The following is a 15,766-nucleotide window of genomic DNA, read 5'->3' as shown; positions in this document are numbered from 1 at the left end:
CAGAAGCCCCAGCGGTGGTGGGAGGGGCGATGAACCGGGGAGTGCAGACACAAACAAGGCTAAGATCTCCAGAGCAGGGCCTCAGGGATGGAGTTTGCTTGGGTGAGAAAAATGTTTGTCACCTTATGGTCTGGCGTGAGGAAGGAAGAGGGCCTAGGTGCTGGGAACTGGGGCAGAGGAGAGAGGAAAGCAATTGAGAAATGTCTCGGGGAAGCAAGCAGAAGTCGTGGGGTTGGAGGTGGGCGAGGGATCGGGCCAACCTTCCCCCTGTTGGGATGTGGCTTCCTGCTTTCAGTCAAGGAAGGAGAAGATTCGGACCCTGACCTGCTTCCCTTCCATGCAGGTGTGAGGCCTCACTTTCCATTTCTGCCTTTTGGATAATATGCAGTTTCCAGGAAGCTGCAGTCAGACCTGAGAAATGGCTAACCCTGGCTCAGGCCCCCAGCTGCTCACAGCCTTTTCCACCTGCCACTTGGGCCCCCTGTGTTTCCCATGTGCCAGGCACTGGGTTCATTCAAGTCCTGGCCTTTTCCAAACTCCGTATGAGAAACGCTAGGACAGGTGTGCGCCGAGATACTGGGACCCTGGGGGTGCAGGAACACGCAATCCATGAAGGTGGGAAGAGGAGGGCTCCGGGAAGCCTCCCCCTTGAAAGTCAACTCTAAGGTGATTCCGGGAAGAATGAAAAGGACTTGCGCAGGTAACGGGGGAGTGGTGCGGTTTTCGCCGAGGCAGCAACCTCAACCGACCGGATTGTTAAGTGTGGCAAGGAAGAGAGAGAAGAGTTGGGAGAGGAAGTGGCTGGAGGTTGGGGATGCCCAAGATAGGGTCTAGAGCCCGGAAAAACTTCATCCTGAGGGCTGCAGGATACCATGGGAGGGTCTGAAGTAGTAAGTGATTTGCATCTTACAGAGATCCCTCTGGCAGCTGAGTGAAGGAGTTTCAGGGTGGAGCTGGAGGCAGGAGACTGTAGACTTAGCGTGATGCAGCAGTGGACTAGGGAAGGGATGATGTTGGCCTGGACAAGGGGCAAGGCTTGGGGAAATGGAGGGAGGCAAGAGATGGCAGGTGCTAAGGTTCAAAGGAAAGAGCTAGTGCAAAGTCCCAGCCCGGGAATATTGAGAAAATAAGAAAGGGAGACTGCCGGAGGTGAGGTGGAGGGAGGTGTGCACTAGTGAGAGAGGGCTTAGGAAGTTTGAATCAGGACCAGCGGGGCTGGAAAATCAAGAGGAATTCAAAAGCTGTTTAGGAGCTGGCATCAGTAAGACTTGGTGATTACTTGACTGTAGGAGAGTCCCTGTGTGCTCCAGCTTTGCCATGCTGTGGCCTGGATTTTCCTGGCATCCCACTTAACCTGGGAGGTCTTCCTGGAAGAGCTGGGCAGTGTAGAGAGACAGAGCAGCCACTTGGTAGATAGGTCCCCAGAAGTTGATCCAAGGCAAAGGCACAGCTGGGTCAGAGTGAGCTGGACAGGTCATGTCCAAAGTGCAGTCCCCCAAGGTCATCAGAGCCAATATTCCCCATTTTACAGCAAAGGAAACCACCCTATCCAAGGCCATACAGAAAAACAATGAGCAAGTAGTGGGGACCAGAGCTCGCCTCTCTCAGTGTCCAGGTGAGCAGAGCAAAGGTGGCAGGTACAGGAGAGTGATCCAAGAGGTGATGTCTTGAAGGCTAGAGGCAGGCAGGGCCAAGAGAGAGGCTCTGTGTTCCTGGGGTGCCACGATGGAGTCAGAGGCTGGCTCAGGACTGGCCCCATGATGGGCCATGTGGATGGGGCAGCCAGCATGAAACAGGCCTGCAGGACAGAATCCAGGTGTCCTCAGCCACCTGGTGGGAGAAGGCAAAACTCAGCTCCCTGACTCATCTCTGACCCCAGCCTGTCCTGCTGGAGGGAGGTGGGACTTGCCAGAGCACCCCCATCACTGCTGCCACGCCGGGGCAGCAGAGCAGGGCCAGCCTGGCCTGTCTGGAAGATCCTGGGCTCCTGCGCTGCCTCCTTCTCGGGGCTTTTCCCAGGCCGCCGTGCCCCCTCCTCTCCCACGCACTGTGCTCACCCGCCCAAGGCGCCGGGCGCCAGCTCCACAGCCCATCATTAAACAGCTCCATGTGGGGAGTTGGGGGGTCATCAGGCAAGAGGAAAACATCAGCAGTTTTTGTGACCCCAAAGGAGGGGCGGAGGCACTGACTTGGATGGTAGCAATTAGCCCCTGACTGTGGGCTCATGGGATGTTATCAGCACCTCCCACCAGCCAAAGTCTCTGCACTGCAGGCAGCAGGGGAGACAGAGATGCCAGACTAACAGCAGTGCAAGGCCAGGCCGGACTCAAGTCCAGACTGTGCGCAGCCCCAGGGAAAGGTGGCTGGAGCACCAGGACAAGAACTGGGTCTGCTGGGTCTACTTCTGCTTCCTTGCTGAGCCCTCCTCCCCATCCTGAGTGTAGAGGGGAGTCTGGAGGCAGGAGGGGGCAGCCTGGGCACCCGTGAATCTCCTGGACTAATGGGGAAATGAGACAGGACAAGCTCAGTGAGAGCCCTGCCCCTCTGGGTTTTGCTGACAGAATGATCGGAGTCTAGGTGACACTGATTGGCAAAACCTGTGAAAGGAGGGGACCCCAGAAAGGAAGTGGGTGTCCTGATTGCACGCTCCTCCACACCGGCCTCTCTCCCAGGCGGAGCTGGCCTTGGCTTCAGAAGGTATGGAGTTGGCCAGCCCTGGGAGTTGACAATCAGGGAAGCGGCTGCACTGGGAGGAGGGGGCCTATAACCTTTAGGTCACTGTGCTGCCTCAGCAGGGTTTCAGATGGAGGCCCTGCCCCTCCCAGTGGGTGAGTCACTCCCACTTACCACTTAGCCGGTTTCTCACCGGACATCCTGTCCCCTTCTGCCAGTTCCTGGGGTGGGGGTGGGAGCATCCCTGGAAAGCCCTAGAAATGCATCCCGAAGGATATCGATTTCACAGAGGCCCTTATGGCGGAGCCCAGCACCCACCTCAGACACACACGTGCACACAGACCCACTCCCTCTCTGCAATGTGCCGCCACTTTACTCCAGGCCAAGTTGGCTGCCCCTGCCCAGCCACTTCAAGGCCCCCAGGCAGAGTCTCAGGAAAGGAGGGGCTGGGGTGGGCTGGCACAGCCAGGACAAAAGAAGTGGTTTATGCCAGGAAGCCCCAAATCCCCCTCGCCTCACCTAGGTACCCACTTTCACCTACCCCTGAGCCCAGTTCCAGCCTGCTTGGCTAGGAAGAGGGGTCTGGGGGTTAAAAGGGCAGGAAGAGAAACTGCTTTAAGTGGGTATGTGGGGAGCGAAGTGTGCCACACCCCGCTGCGTGGGAACCTGTGGCACTGGCTTGCGGATGAGCTCCATGGCAGGCAGGGCCTTGGGGAGCAGGTTTGTCCGCCACAACTGAGGAGTCTTTGTGTTTTGTTGCTGAGCTCAGGCGTTTGCAGGTCTGTGACGTCTCAGGGGGCCGGCCTGAGGCCCGTCATGCTGGCTCAGCACTTCTGGGAAGTGAGGCAGCCTGAACTGCCCAACCTGAGATCTAGTGGGGAAACTGAGGCACTTGAGAACAAGCCCCAGGGGCATGGGTCCCAGATCCTGGAGCTCATAGGGTGGTCAGGGAGAATATAGGCAGTGCTTGAGTTCAGGAAAAAAAAAAAGACTGATTCTTTTGATATCTGTGGGATGCAAGAGCCCCTCTGCTGAGGGCACAGGTTCTATGGATGCCTCTGCCCTTCACTCCCCACCTCTCTAGCTCTTATTGCTCAGCACATAGCAGCCTCCTGCAAGTGCCCACACACACACACACACACACACACACACACACACACCCGGGATCCCCAAAGCCCCTGTTTCTGACCTATCACCTGACACCCAGTCAGGTGACCTGCAGATGCAATGGCCACCCCAGTATTGTAGCTGGTGTTTGTGCCATTTCTCACAAGGGGCAATGGAGGCACTGAGGTTATATTCTAGGAGGGACACCACCCAGAAAGAGGCCCCAGGGAGTTAGGTTGAGCCAGAGTCTGTTTTTGTGGCAGGGTGGGAAAGCACTGGGCTGGGTGCTGCTGTTCTGTGTCCCTGAGCAGGTGACCTAATCCCTCCAGTCATTGTAAATGATGGATTGCATGGTCCATCAAGCTCCAATATGCTACCATTTTAGTGGTCCCAGTTCCCACATCTGGGCCAGCCTCTGCTTCTCATGTAAGAGGGAACCTGCGGGAAAGGAGACAGGATGTGTTCTGTGGACCAGCCCTGACTGCTTAGGGAATCAGAGAAAGTCAGCAGGGAACTCCCCAAGCCCTGGACCCTGCCAGTGGCAGGCGTGACATGGTCAACTCAACCCAAGGCCAGGCCTGCTCCTTTCATCTCCTGCAGGGGCTTACAATTGGTTGGGAGACAGGCTAGACACATATGCCAGGAAGTAGAAAATAAAGGGGTACAGGTCAGTGTTACATGTTATTGGGGTATTAATAGAACTGTCAGCTGAGTAGGAAGAGATGACAGTCACAAGGGCGTCCTGGAAGAGGGGCGCCTAGTAGCACTCCCTACAGTGTCCAGTATGGAGTAGGTGCTCAGCAAATATTTGTTGAATGAAGTTCCAGGGAGGGAGGCCTGTTGCTTCATAGATGAAAGATGATGGTGATGATGATGATGGAAGCTAGCATCTAATGAGCCTTTCATTTGTCCTAAGTGCTGCTTTCTGAGTTTCCCATGGACTCCCTCTTTTAATCCTTACGCAGTTTTATAGGGCAGGTATTAGCTATTATAATCCCCATCTTACAGATGTGCAACATTGGTGCAAACTGAGCTACAGAGAGGTGAAGTCATTTGGCCAAGGTTGCACAGCTCATCAATGGCAGAGGTGGAATGCAACCCCCTACTGCCTGGCTCCTAACAGCCCCGCCATGCTGCCTGAAAGGGTGGTGACGGAACAGCCCTTCAGAAGGTGGGAGACGCTAGCTCAGCTTTCAGGTTGTCAAGGCTGCAGTGTCTGGAGAAGCTTGGCAAGGAGAGGGGCTGTGCAGTCTTTAAGCCCCTGTTTCTGCTGCCTGTCCCTGGAGCAGGCTGCCTTTTATCAATCCTGGTCCCTTCTCGTGGCCCACCTGTTCCAGGATTCTTGCCCCCATCCAGCTCTTTCTTTCTTTCCGGTGGTGATCCCTGCTCCTCTGTTGACTCTAACATTCTAACCCGCCTGTTAGAGTCACCTGGACTCTGCTCCCGTCTGAAAACCTCCCAATCTAAAGAATGAGGGTCCTTCTCCCCAACCCTGAGTCCTTGGACCAAGGCAGGCAGCCCCTAATACGAGGCTTGGGTTCCCGGTCCCTAAGTCTGGAGTGGAGAAGTGGAGTTTTTAGGCCTTTCCAATCTTCCAGCACCTCCCAACTCCAGAACTCTGGGATCCAGTCCCCACCCTCAATGACCCTAAGCCCCTTGCTCCAAGAGCTCCCTTATGCTCACCCCATGGGTCACCTCCCCTGGCCCTGCTAGCAGTCAGATGTAGCAAAGAGGCAAATACCAAAGTGAGTCTGTACCTGCTCCTTAAAGATCCTCCCTGCCCTGCCCCACCCTGCCCATCACCAGGGCAAAAATGTCCAGGACGAGGGGCACCCACTTGGTGCCCAGTAAGAGAGAGGCTGGGAACGTCCTTCACTTCCCCACCATGTGGTTGCTTCTGGGAGTGCCACAGTGGACAGAAAAGAGCAACCTCCACCCCAACATAGACGTGGGCTGCCCCTGCCTGGTGAGGGATTGGTAGATGTAAGGGGGCCTCTGGGGTGCCCGGCCACCTTGCAGCACCCTCCCCACCCCATGCCTGGCCGCTATCAGCCGTCTCCCCTCCTGGCATTGACACAGCTCTGAGGGTGAGGTCACCACTGAAGACTCAGACAATGAATGTCAGCCTGTGCCCCAGGGACTGTGCCCTGCCTGCCTCCACACCTTCAGGGGATGAGAGGAGACAGGATTGCAGGGGCTCAGAGGGCCGTGTCCCGTTGCAGGTCCACCATGCATGGCACCAATCCATGCATGGCACCAATCCCAAAATGGCTCCTGGATCCCACACCCCTTCCCTGCGCTCTCACCTGGGGCCCAAGCCCTCCCAACTGGCTTTTCCTGTTCCTAGCTTTGTGTGGTGCAAGTTCCCCAATTATGCCCACATTATCTCAGCCACTGGGCAGCCTCCAGCAGCCTGGGGGAGGGGTGGGGAGCACCCAATTATCCTGCTGGAGAGGGCCTAGGGCTTAGCTGCTTGCCAACTAGCCCGTCAGCAAGAGTACTGGGCCGTCTGGCCCACTGACCTCACCATGGAACTGTATCTGGAGTGGGGCCACAGCTGCACTGGGCTGTCATGAGACAGTTAGGACCAGGAGGACCACTGGGACTCGGGAGGCCAGTCTGCTGCCTTACAGAGGAGGAAGCTAGGGCTCAGAAAGGGGAGGTGACTGGCCACGGTCCCACTGCCTGCTAAAGGCAGAGGCAGGCTACAGCCCAGCCTTCCCAACTCGTGGCTGGATACTTCTCCCATCGTATTCCCAACCCATGGGGCCTCTGCCCAGGGAGCATCAGCTCCGAAGCACCCCACAGGCTGGCAGAGGGAACAGCTGGAGGAGTGAGGGTGGGGATAGGCCTGATGGACCTTGAGGGCTGTGTGGATGTGAATCAGCACAGAGAAGGGGGAACCTCAGGGAAACTTTCAGAACACGGTAGGGCCTGGCTTGGTGAAGCCAAAGATAGACTTATTCAGCAAGCATTTCTTGAGTAGCTACTTTATGCTGAGCACCAGGGATACTGCAGTGACCTAGAGACCTGGCCTGTGGCCTCTCGAGCGGAAGAGAGGGGAGCAACTTACTGCACTGACCATGGGTTTTGGGGCCCTCAGAGGAGCCTGTGTTGCTACAATATCCCCGTCACGCTGAGGAGGTGAGTGAGCATAAGCCCCAAATTCCCACTCTTGGATCCCAGACTCCCTTGGGGGGTCATTTAGATCCTCCCCCTGCCTTGGGTCAGTACAGGTCCTGGTGTTATTAATGCTATTGATGACGCTCAATAAAGTGAGTGAAGTAAGGATACAAAGACATGAAGTATACAAATGACAGCAAGGACACGGCTTGTGGGGAGTTGCAGGACTCAGGAGAGAGCTGGAGTGTACAGCCTAGTGCTGAGGACAACCGCCCCACGTTAAGGGAGCTGAGCCAAGTTCAGGGGTAAGGAAGCCCAAAAAAAGGACATTCTAAAGGGGATAACACAACCCATGTGGAGACTGGAGGGAATTTCACTCCCTCCTTCTTGCAAATGTCTGCTCTCTTGACTTCCATTGCAATTTGTGTAGTAACAAATATTTACTAGCATCTGCTATGTGCCAGATGCTGCACTGGGCACTGGGGATACAGAGATGGAAAGGACAGACCCTGCCCTTGGAGGAGTTCACAGTCTGGTGGAGAAATCAGATGTGTAACCACCACCTTCCAAGGCAGGAAAGAACCAAGGTAGAGGTGGCCAGGTTAGCTCTGGTGGGGAAGATCAGGGAAGCTCCCAGGAGGAGGTGGCCTCAGGGGGCCATCCACAGGTGGAGAAGGGGAAGGGCCATCTAGGTGGAGGGAGCTGCCTGGGTAAGAGTCTAGGAGTGTTGGGTGGATAGGCTCTGTGCTCCATGGAGGCCGGGACTCAATTGCTCCTTGATATGACCCAAATGCTCACACTAGATCCTGGAATATGTCACTCGGCAAATCGTGGCTGAATAAATGGGAGGAAGAGGGAAGGAAACCGGGAATGTGGCATGTTCTGAGGATGGGCCCAGTCTGGTATGGTGGGAAAGTGTGGCTGATGGAGAGATGTGGACAAGAGGCAGGTGCAAGGAGGTCTTGCCAAGAGAAGGCATTTACATTTGGCTGTGAAGGCCATGGGGAGCCAGCGGAGGCCTGGCCTTATGCAGTGCCCACTTCCCTCTGCCTAGCTGGGTAAGAGGGGCCCAGCTAGTGCACCCCAGGGGATGGGGACTCAGCTGCGAGGGAGAAGACAGCAGGGGTGGCCATGATGACAGCCACCGTGGGCCTTCAAGCTCATCCAGAGCCTCCTGCCTCTGACGCACCTTCTCGTCCATCACGCCATTTGTTTCCCCCAGTAACCTCGTGAGGTAGAGAGGACTGGATTCTCCACCCCATATAACAGAGGAGGAAACCAAGGCCCAGGAAGACAAAGCAGCCAGTGCATGGCTCCTAGGCTGGGGCTCTGCTCGAAAAGCAACCAAAAATGAGGGTGCAGACGTATGTTTACTAACACAGAGTGATGTTTATAATCTATCCCTAAGTAAAAAAGCAGCTTATGGGATAATATGTACAGCATGATTCTGACTTTTTAAAATAGATAGATGGTTATGTGGATATACACAGATATAAAGTAAAAGGAGATAGATCCTTCAAGATTATCCTGAGCGGAAGGATCATGGGATGTTGTCACTTTCTTCTCATGATTTTTCAGTGTTGCCTAGAGTGTTTTTATAACAAGTAATTAATATTTTTACAATCGGAATAAAAACAATAATGACTGCTATAAAAGACAAGGCCAGAGCACAGGGAACTGTGTGGGTGGGGGGAGGCTGTGCCTGACACTGACCACTTGCTGCCATCCTCCTGGCCAGGCGTCCACTCCCAGGTGGTCCAGGTGAACGACTCCATGTATGGCTTCATCGGCACAGACGTGGTTCTGCACTGCAGCTTTGCCAACCCGCTTCCCAGCGTGAAGATCACCCAGGTCACATGGCAGAAGTCCACCAATGGCTCCAAGCAGAACGTGGCCATCTACAACCCATCCATGGGCGTGTCCGTGCTGGCTCCCTACCGCGAGCGTGTGGAATTCCTGCGGCCCTCCTTCACCGATGGCACTATCCGCCTCTCCCGCCTGGAGCTGGAGGATGAGGGTGTCTACATCTGCGAGTTTGCTACCTTCCCTACGGGCAATCGAGAAAGCCAGCTCAATCTCACGGTGATGGGTAAGCTGCCCTGGGCCCCCTCCCTGTTCATCCAGAGGCCTGTGACCTCGGGGCGTGGCCATCCTCAGGATGCCTCAATGACCCCAGACATCCCCCTTGGGTGGGCATGCTGCCATCATTCTAGGCATGAGGCTTCCAGTCCCTTCTAGCCAGGCCACCCCACAATTCACTAGGGATTAGGGGCAGGGGCTTATCTCTAGACAGTGGGGAACGTGATTCTTCAGGTTGAAGCCCACAAGGCACTGTGCTGGCAGCAGCATCAGACACCACGGTAAGGAAAGGAGCCACCTGCGCTGCTTGCCTTAGACATGCTGGGACTCCAGGAGGCCTAAGCTCGATGACAGGGATATGACTAGTAGGGCAGGGAGGACATAACGTTAGACATGATGAACTTCCTGCAAGAGGTTCTGGGACAGTCTTTGGTGCAGCACAGCTGAGAGGCAGGGATGGCCAAGGGGACCTGAAGACAAGGCCTGACGGATGCCACGCCCTTTTGGCCGGTGCATCTTGGACAAGTCAACAGGGCTAGTCCCATCACTCTCTCTGCTTCCTCGCAGCCAAACCCACCAATTGGATAGAGGGTACCCAGGCAGTGCTTCGAGCCAAGAAGGGGCAGGATGACAAGGTCCTGGTGGCCACCTGCACCTCAGCCAATGGGAAGCCTCCCAGTGTGGTATCCTGGGAAACTCGGTTAAAAGGTGAGGCAGAGTACCAGGAGATCCGGAACCCCAATGGCACAGTGACGGTCATCAGCCGCTACCGCCTGGTGCCCAGCAGGGAAGCCCACCAGCAGTCCTTGGCCTGCATCGTCAACTACCACATGGACCGCTTCAAGGAAAGCCTCACTCTCAACGTGCAGTGTGAGCAGGGCTGGCTGCCAGGGGCCTCCTGGGGTGGGCGCCACTGTCCCTCCTCCCTCCTCCTCTCCTTTCTCCTCCCTTTCTCTTTCTGGGGGTGCTTTCTTCTCCCCTCCTGTCTCCCCTATCTCCTCCCTTTGCTCGTTTTCTCTCCTCCTTCCCTGTCGCCCTCCTGTTTCCACTCCCGGGCTCTGTGATTGCCACCCTCCCACCCACACTTCCCTCTCTCCTGGCTGTTTCCATGCCACTGCTCCTTCCATCCCTTCCTGGCTGAAGTTCCCTTGTTCTAAGTCCCGCTCTCCTGACCTCACCCTCTTCAAACATCCCTTGCCCCACAGATGAGCCTGAGGTAACCATTGAGGGGTTTGATGGCAACTGGTACCTGCAGCGGATGGACGTGAAGCTCACCTGCAAAGCTGATGCTAACCCCCCAGCCACTGAGTACCACTGGACCACGTAAGTGCTGCAGGGCTGACCAGTCACCTTGGAAGACAGCTGACTGGACCACGGGTGATGAGGGGCAACCATCCTACCTCCAGGAGCCTTTAGGCAGGGAAGAAATTAGGGTCTGGGCTCAGTAAGAAGCGGGGCCATGAGAGAACAACCCCCACCCCCAACACACACATATACATTACGTCCATGTGTGACAGTGTCAAGGTCAATGGAACAAGCTATTCTGCCAGAGGGGTTTCCTTTGTGATCTGCTTCCCTCCCTCTTCCTAATAAAGAGTTTTGTCGTTTTCCTTTGGTGATTCAGTCTGAGTCACTCCCACCCCAACCCCCCAGTATTTATTTTTATCAAGGTGTCCCCAGGGAAGCCAGTGTTCTGGAGCATCTCAGCTCTTTCTTTGTCCCTATTCCTTCTCTCTGGCACCCCCAGATTCTTGGGGAGGAGGCAGCAGCCAGCCTAGAATGCCTGTGCTCATGGAGCACGTGCCCTGCGGCCCACCATCCCCTTCTTGGCCTCACGGTCTTCGCCTTGCCTTGCCTTCGCCTTCTCCCCTCCAGCCGGCTCTGACAGCTGGGGCCAAGGCTCTTCCCAGAGAAGAGCTGGATGGAACACACAGAAAGACAGGGACGTGGGGAACCAAGGAGAAGGTTGATATGGGTGGCCAGGAGACAGCTGCCCAGAAGGAGTCTGCCTTCTTTTTCTGGGGAGCAGAGGGCACTGGTATGCCCTACCTATGATCCTCCACTTCCTGGAATAAAAAGTGCTTCTGAAGGTGTGAGTGGGCAGAGCCTGCTGGCTGGTTTCAGCTCTGTGGACCCAGGAGCTGCTAGGTTCAACAGAATAGCTTTGTGGCCTTTGAGGGTCAGGAGGAAGGAAGAAGATCCTTTGTCCTTGGCAAATTTGCAAGTCACTTCCCACATGAAAAGGTCCTGTGACATTCCCAGCAAAAACACAAAGTAGTGGAATGGAACATACTTCCTATCTCGTTACCTGAGTGGCTTGTCAAATACAGATTCCCAGGTCTTTGCCCCAGTGGTTCTGCTTCAGGAGATCTGGGGTTAGAACCAAGGCATCTGTATTATTATTTTTTTTTTTTTCTTTGAGACGGATTTTCACTCTGTCACCCAGGCTGGAGTGCAATGGCGCAATCTTGGCTCACTGCAACCTCCGCCTCCCAGGTTCAAGCAGTTCTTCTGCCTCACCCTCCCGAGTAACTGGGACTACAGGCGTGCACCACCACACCCAGCTAATTTTTGTACTTTTAGTAGAGATGGGGTTTCACCATATTGGCCAAGCTGGTCTCAAACTCCTGACCATGTGATCTGCCTGCCTCGGCCTCCCAAAGTGCTGGGATTACAGGCGTGAGCCACCACACCTGGCTGGCATCTGTATTATTAACCAGCTGCCCAGGAGACCAAGGACCAACAACCATGAGACGTGAATGGAAAGTAGAAAGAGCACTTTACCAGGAGTCCCGAGAATTGGCTGGAGCTCCCATGCTGCTGCCTGCTAGCTGTGGTTCCCTGGCCTTGAACCTCAGGTTTCATCTGTTAAGGGGGACCGGCACCTACCTAGCCTGCCTATATTCCCATATTATGATCAAATATGAAAAGCTGAATAATATAAAACTACCAAGTGAAAGAGATTATTATTATTATTTTTCTTCCTTCAAAGACAGACTCTACCACACAAGCTCAGCAAAAGGCTAGGGGGCCTGGAGCCAAGTGGGTGACCCAGGAACAGCTTCTTGAGGCTGGAGAGTCATAACCCTACGCTGTGTCTCCCACTTCCCACAGGCTAAATGGCTCTCTCCCCAAGGGTGTGGAGGCCCAGAACAGAACCCTCTTCTTCAAGGGACCCATCAACTACAGCCTGGCAGGGACCTACATCTGTGAGGCCACCAACCCCATCGGTACACGCTCAGGCCAGGTGGAGGTCAATATCACAGGTAGGAAGCTGCATCCTCCCCAGCCTCTCCGCACCCACGGGTTCCTTCGCCACCTGCATCCCTCACCTTTGAGCAATGCCACTGCAGGAAGATTATCTCCTTTTCCTGCTTCTCTAGTTCTCCCTTGAGCTCTGGCCATTGGTTTTGCTTTGCTTTTCTCTTTCTTTCATTAAAGGGTGCAAATGAGACAGTCAGGGTGACCCCCAATCAGAGAGGGGCAGGAGGAAGGCTCTGAGAGGGAAGAAGGAAGTGCTGTTTACAGCAATGCTGTTTTGGGGGCCAATAGAACCTGCCCGTAGATCTGCCAGCAGAACACGCTGTGGGATGCTGGCATGGTGGGGATAGGTTTGCAGGTGGAGCTCATCTCCTCCAAGCTCTGCACCTGTGGTCAAGGACCTCTTCATGGGCCAGAAAGTGAGGCTTACCTCAAGCAGGGAGACTGGAGAGAAAGCGAAGATGTAGCCCAAAGCCATAGTGCTTTGTGTGCCCTGCAACTGAGCTTTCCCTGCAGCTTTCTGTCAACTTATCTATCCGGGCAAAGGGAGGACAAGAGCTAGGATGTTCTGAGGAGAGACTTCACCTGGGACGTGAAAGGAGCATGGGCTTGATGTCAGACAGCTGTGACCCTGGACAGGGCCCCCCCCACCATCTGTAAAACGGGGACAGTATGATGTACCTTGAAGGGCTGTTGTCAGAATTCTACGTGATGTAAGTCAAGCACCTAGCACAGATCAGTCTGTCAATAAATGGCCAATGTTCCGTGATTATTACCCTGACCTCCATCATCATCATTATTATTAATGGAAGCATCAAAACAAGTCCACACAGGGGTAAACTGCCATCACAACTTCACATGGGGAGCGTCTTTTACAGTGGACCTGAGCTATCTGCAGGGTGACAGGGTGACCGAGTGTCTTAAAAAAGGAAGTGGTGTCCCACTGTGACTGAGATATAGGAAGTAACATGCTCAGGGACACAGAAGACTGGTCGGCAGTTGCTGGGCTCCGGCCACAAAGCCACTGCACACCTGCAAGCCACGAGGATTCATGAGCTCTGAGCCAGTGTCTCGGGAGTGGGAGACCTCATTTGTGGGTATATTTAGGACACAGCTGCAGAAAGAGCCACGTGAAGTTGTCCAGGGTCTGCGCCTACCTGTCCTCAGAGCCGTTCTGTCACGTCTCTCACCCAGGGGCGGGAGTGTGGAGCCACCTGCTGTTGTCTGCAATCCCTGGCCTTGGCCCCGAGACTAGTCATAGGAGGAGGAGCATCAGGGTTGGAGCCTGGGGAAAGCTGGGGGGTTTCCACGGGTTGGCAGGTGGAAGGGGCCGGTGTCACACACTTCTCCCCAGCGGGGAAGGTCCAAGTACAGCTCAAAATGAGCCTCATGGTTACCCAAGCTCCAGCTCTGAGATACTGGGGGAGTCAAGGGGGAGGTGGGAAGGGCAGGGCCTGTGTTCCATGTGGAGTGGCCATAGGGAACATGACCACCCCTCAGGGAGGCACTGTCACATGGGAGACAGCACAGACCTGGCCTGAGTGTTCACACACTGGCTCTTCCTAGCTGTGTGGCCTTGAGCAAGTGCTTCACCTCTCTGAGCCTTGGCTTCCTAACCTCTGATATGGGGATACTCACACTTGTCTCAGGCTTCTTACGATCATGCAGTACTCCCTGCGTGGTGATACCTTCCCCTGATGGTGGGCTATCAACATGTGAGGGGTGTGGGCTGGGGGCAGGAGGGCCGGGCCACCTAGGGTCCCAGCTGGAAGAGGGACACAACATGGCTCTTGCTGGCAGCCCCGTTAGGCAGGAGCCAGGGACGCATGGCACTCACTGAATCATTGATAGGCCCAGGCGCTGAGCGGCTGGCCTCTCTCGGAAGGGACTCTCAGCCCCCTCCAGAGGACTCAGGGAGTTGGCCTGAGCCTTCTCAGGGCTGTTTGTTCTTGTGCTCTCAGGCAATTTCCAAGCAGCAGCTGACCTCACCACCCTCCATTCCACGTCGGCCCGTGCCTGCCACATTCTCTGGGGAGCCCACCCCGCAGGGCACAGCCATGCCCTTGCTCTAAGCCCCACTGGTCCAGAGGGAATGCATGAGCGAGAGGGATAAGTGGAAATTTAATTTTTCATTCTGGGCATTCGTTCGGGTAATAACTTTACCCTGGGCACATCTGGAAAGGGAAATGAGGAGTGACTGGGGCAGGGCAGAAGGTGGGCAGCAGGGGGTGTGCTGGAGGGACACGCATATGCAGAACACGTGTGTGCTGGGCCACTGCACACCTGCGCAGACTCGCTTTGGCATGGCTTCTTGGGGACCTGGGCCCCTGAGGAAGGAGCACTGAGTGGTTGCTGGGAGATGAGTGAGTAGGCAGGGCTGGAGGGCGGGATGCCCAGGCCAGGGAAGCATGGGAAGGAAAATGGCTGGAGCAGAGTGGGCAGGGAGGAAGGAGCAAGGCCTTCTCTCTGTTGGCCACAGGGAGTCTCTGAAGGGCTCTCAGCCAGGAAGCACCGTGGCGAGGTGTGTGGGTTAGACTGAGCATTCAGGGGGCTGTGTGGATGGCACCGGCACACCCGTTAGGAGCTGCCACCATGAGTGAGTCCCTAGTGGGAAACAACAGGCCCAGGCTGTGGCTGTGGCGATGGGGGCACCGAGGAGATGGACCGGACAGAATCTGTGTGTGCTTCCGTGGGCACAGGCCCCAGAGAACCCCTTTCAGAGGCCCTTACACAGAGGAGCAGTTTCATGGGGTGGGCCCAGTGGTCACAAAATGAAGCTCCCTCCCTTCTCCCTCTGGGGTAATGACAAGGTGGGGAGAGGCCCAGGGTGCAGCCTCCACCAGACTGAAAAAAAACAGATGAGGCAGCCTCTATCCCTGTGGGTGTCGGGAGGAGACAGGCCAGGCCTCTCCAGCTGGGACCCAGCCTCTCGCCACTCCCAAGAGCAGGACAGGGAGGCTGCCAGGGTGTAGGATGTCCATCCCAGGGTGCAGGGCGTCTGTCCCAACTCACATTTCCAGTGAAGCCCGGGCTCATCCCTTGCAGGTGAGGGTCACAGTCTGCCCATCAGTCCTGGAGTTCTTCAGACCCAGAATTGCGGGCCTTGAAGGCCAGTGTCCTGGAAGGGAGGCAGGTGTGAGCCTGCAAGTGTGCATGCCCAGCCATGGTATGGACATGTGTCTCTGGGCATGTAAATGTGAACCAGTGTGAACAGGCTCCGTCTGCATGCTGAGTGTGCATGTGGGAGCCCGTGGCTGTGCCGTGGCAACGTGCCATTCTCTGAGCCAGCGAATGGCAGTGTGTTGGGAGGTCTGAGAAGGCAGCTGCATCCGTGCCTCTGGGAGGATTCGGTTCTCCCCCAGCTTGCCGAGGCCCTGCCTGATGGTCTGACACGAGGCACAGCTGCTGCAGCTGCAGATGGACAGAAGGGCTTCCCAGAGGTGGACCCCAGGCCTCCCCACTCTCCCTGTGGCTGGCTGCACTGCATGCTGGGGGGTGTAGTTCTTGCAGCTTCCAGGCCTAA

At 55.7% G+C, this 15,766-nt stretch overlaps 1 protein-coding gene across 3 annotated transcripts in view, besides 3 other annotated features; it reads left to right on the top strand.

The window, feature by feature from the left end:
* The window catches only part of NECTIN1 (nectin cell adhesion molecule 1), a 91,103-nt gene that overhangs the window by 41,794 nt on the left and 33,543 nt on the right, over positions 1 to 15,766 (top strand). For 2 of the 3 annotated variants that reach the window (NM_203285.2, NM_002855.5), the window contains exons 2-5: positions 8,642 to 8,992; positions 9,550 to 9,852; positions 10,188 to 10,305; positions 12,097 to 12,248. In NM_203285.2, coding sequence (NP_976030.1) covers positions 8,642 to 8,992; positions 9,550 to 9,852; positions 10,188 to 10,305; positions 12,097 to 12,248 — 924 coding nt within the window. Of the gene's footprint in view, positions 1 to 8,641; positions 8,993 to 9,549; positions 9,853 to 10,187; positions 10,306 to 12,096; positions 12,249 to 12,759; positions 13,019 to 15,766 lie in introns of those variants that run through there. The other variant, NM_203286.2, reaches the window with a different exon arrangement.
* Positions 10,394 to 10,688: an enhancer, noted in NCBI's record as "tiled region #6199; HepG2 Activating non-DNase unmatched - State 15:Elon, and K562 Activating non-DNase unmatched - State 22:ReprW". NCBI's record gives its function as "activates a minimal TATA promoter and a strong SV40 promoter by Sharpr-MPRA in HepG2 and K562 cells {active_cell/tissue: HepG2 | K562}" and the evidence as "EXISTENCE:reporter gene assay evidence [ECO:0000049][PMID:27701403]".
* Positions 13,209 to 13,258: an enhancer, noted in NCBI's record as "active region_5633". NCBI's record gives its function as "activates an Ori minimal core promoter by ATAC-STARR-seq in GM12878 lymphoblastoid cells {active_cell/tissue: GM12878}" and the evidence as "EXISTENCE:reporter gene assay evidence [ECO:0000049][PMID:35858748]".
* Positions 13,279 to 13,828: an enhancer, noted in NCBI's record as "active region_5632". NCBI's record gives its function as "activates an Ori minimal core promoter by ATAC-STARR-seq in GM12878 lymphoblastoid cells {active_cell/tissue: GM12878}" and the evidence as "EXISTENCE:reporter gene assay evidence [ECO:0000049][PMID:35858748]".

This window comes from Homo sapiens, chromosome 11 (genome assembly GCF_000001405.40).
Source record: "Homo sapiens chromosome 11, GRCh38.p14 Primary Assembly".
Taxonomy (NCBI): Eukaryota; Metazoa; Chordata; class Mammalia; order Primates; family Hominidae; genus Homo; species Homo sapiens.
This window is presented reverse-complemented; position numbering and strand designations above follow the sequence as displayed.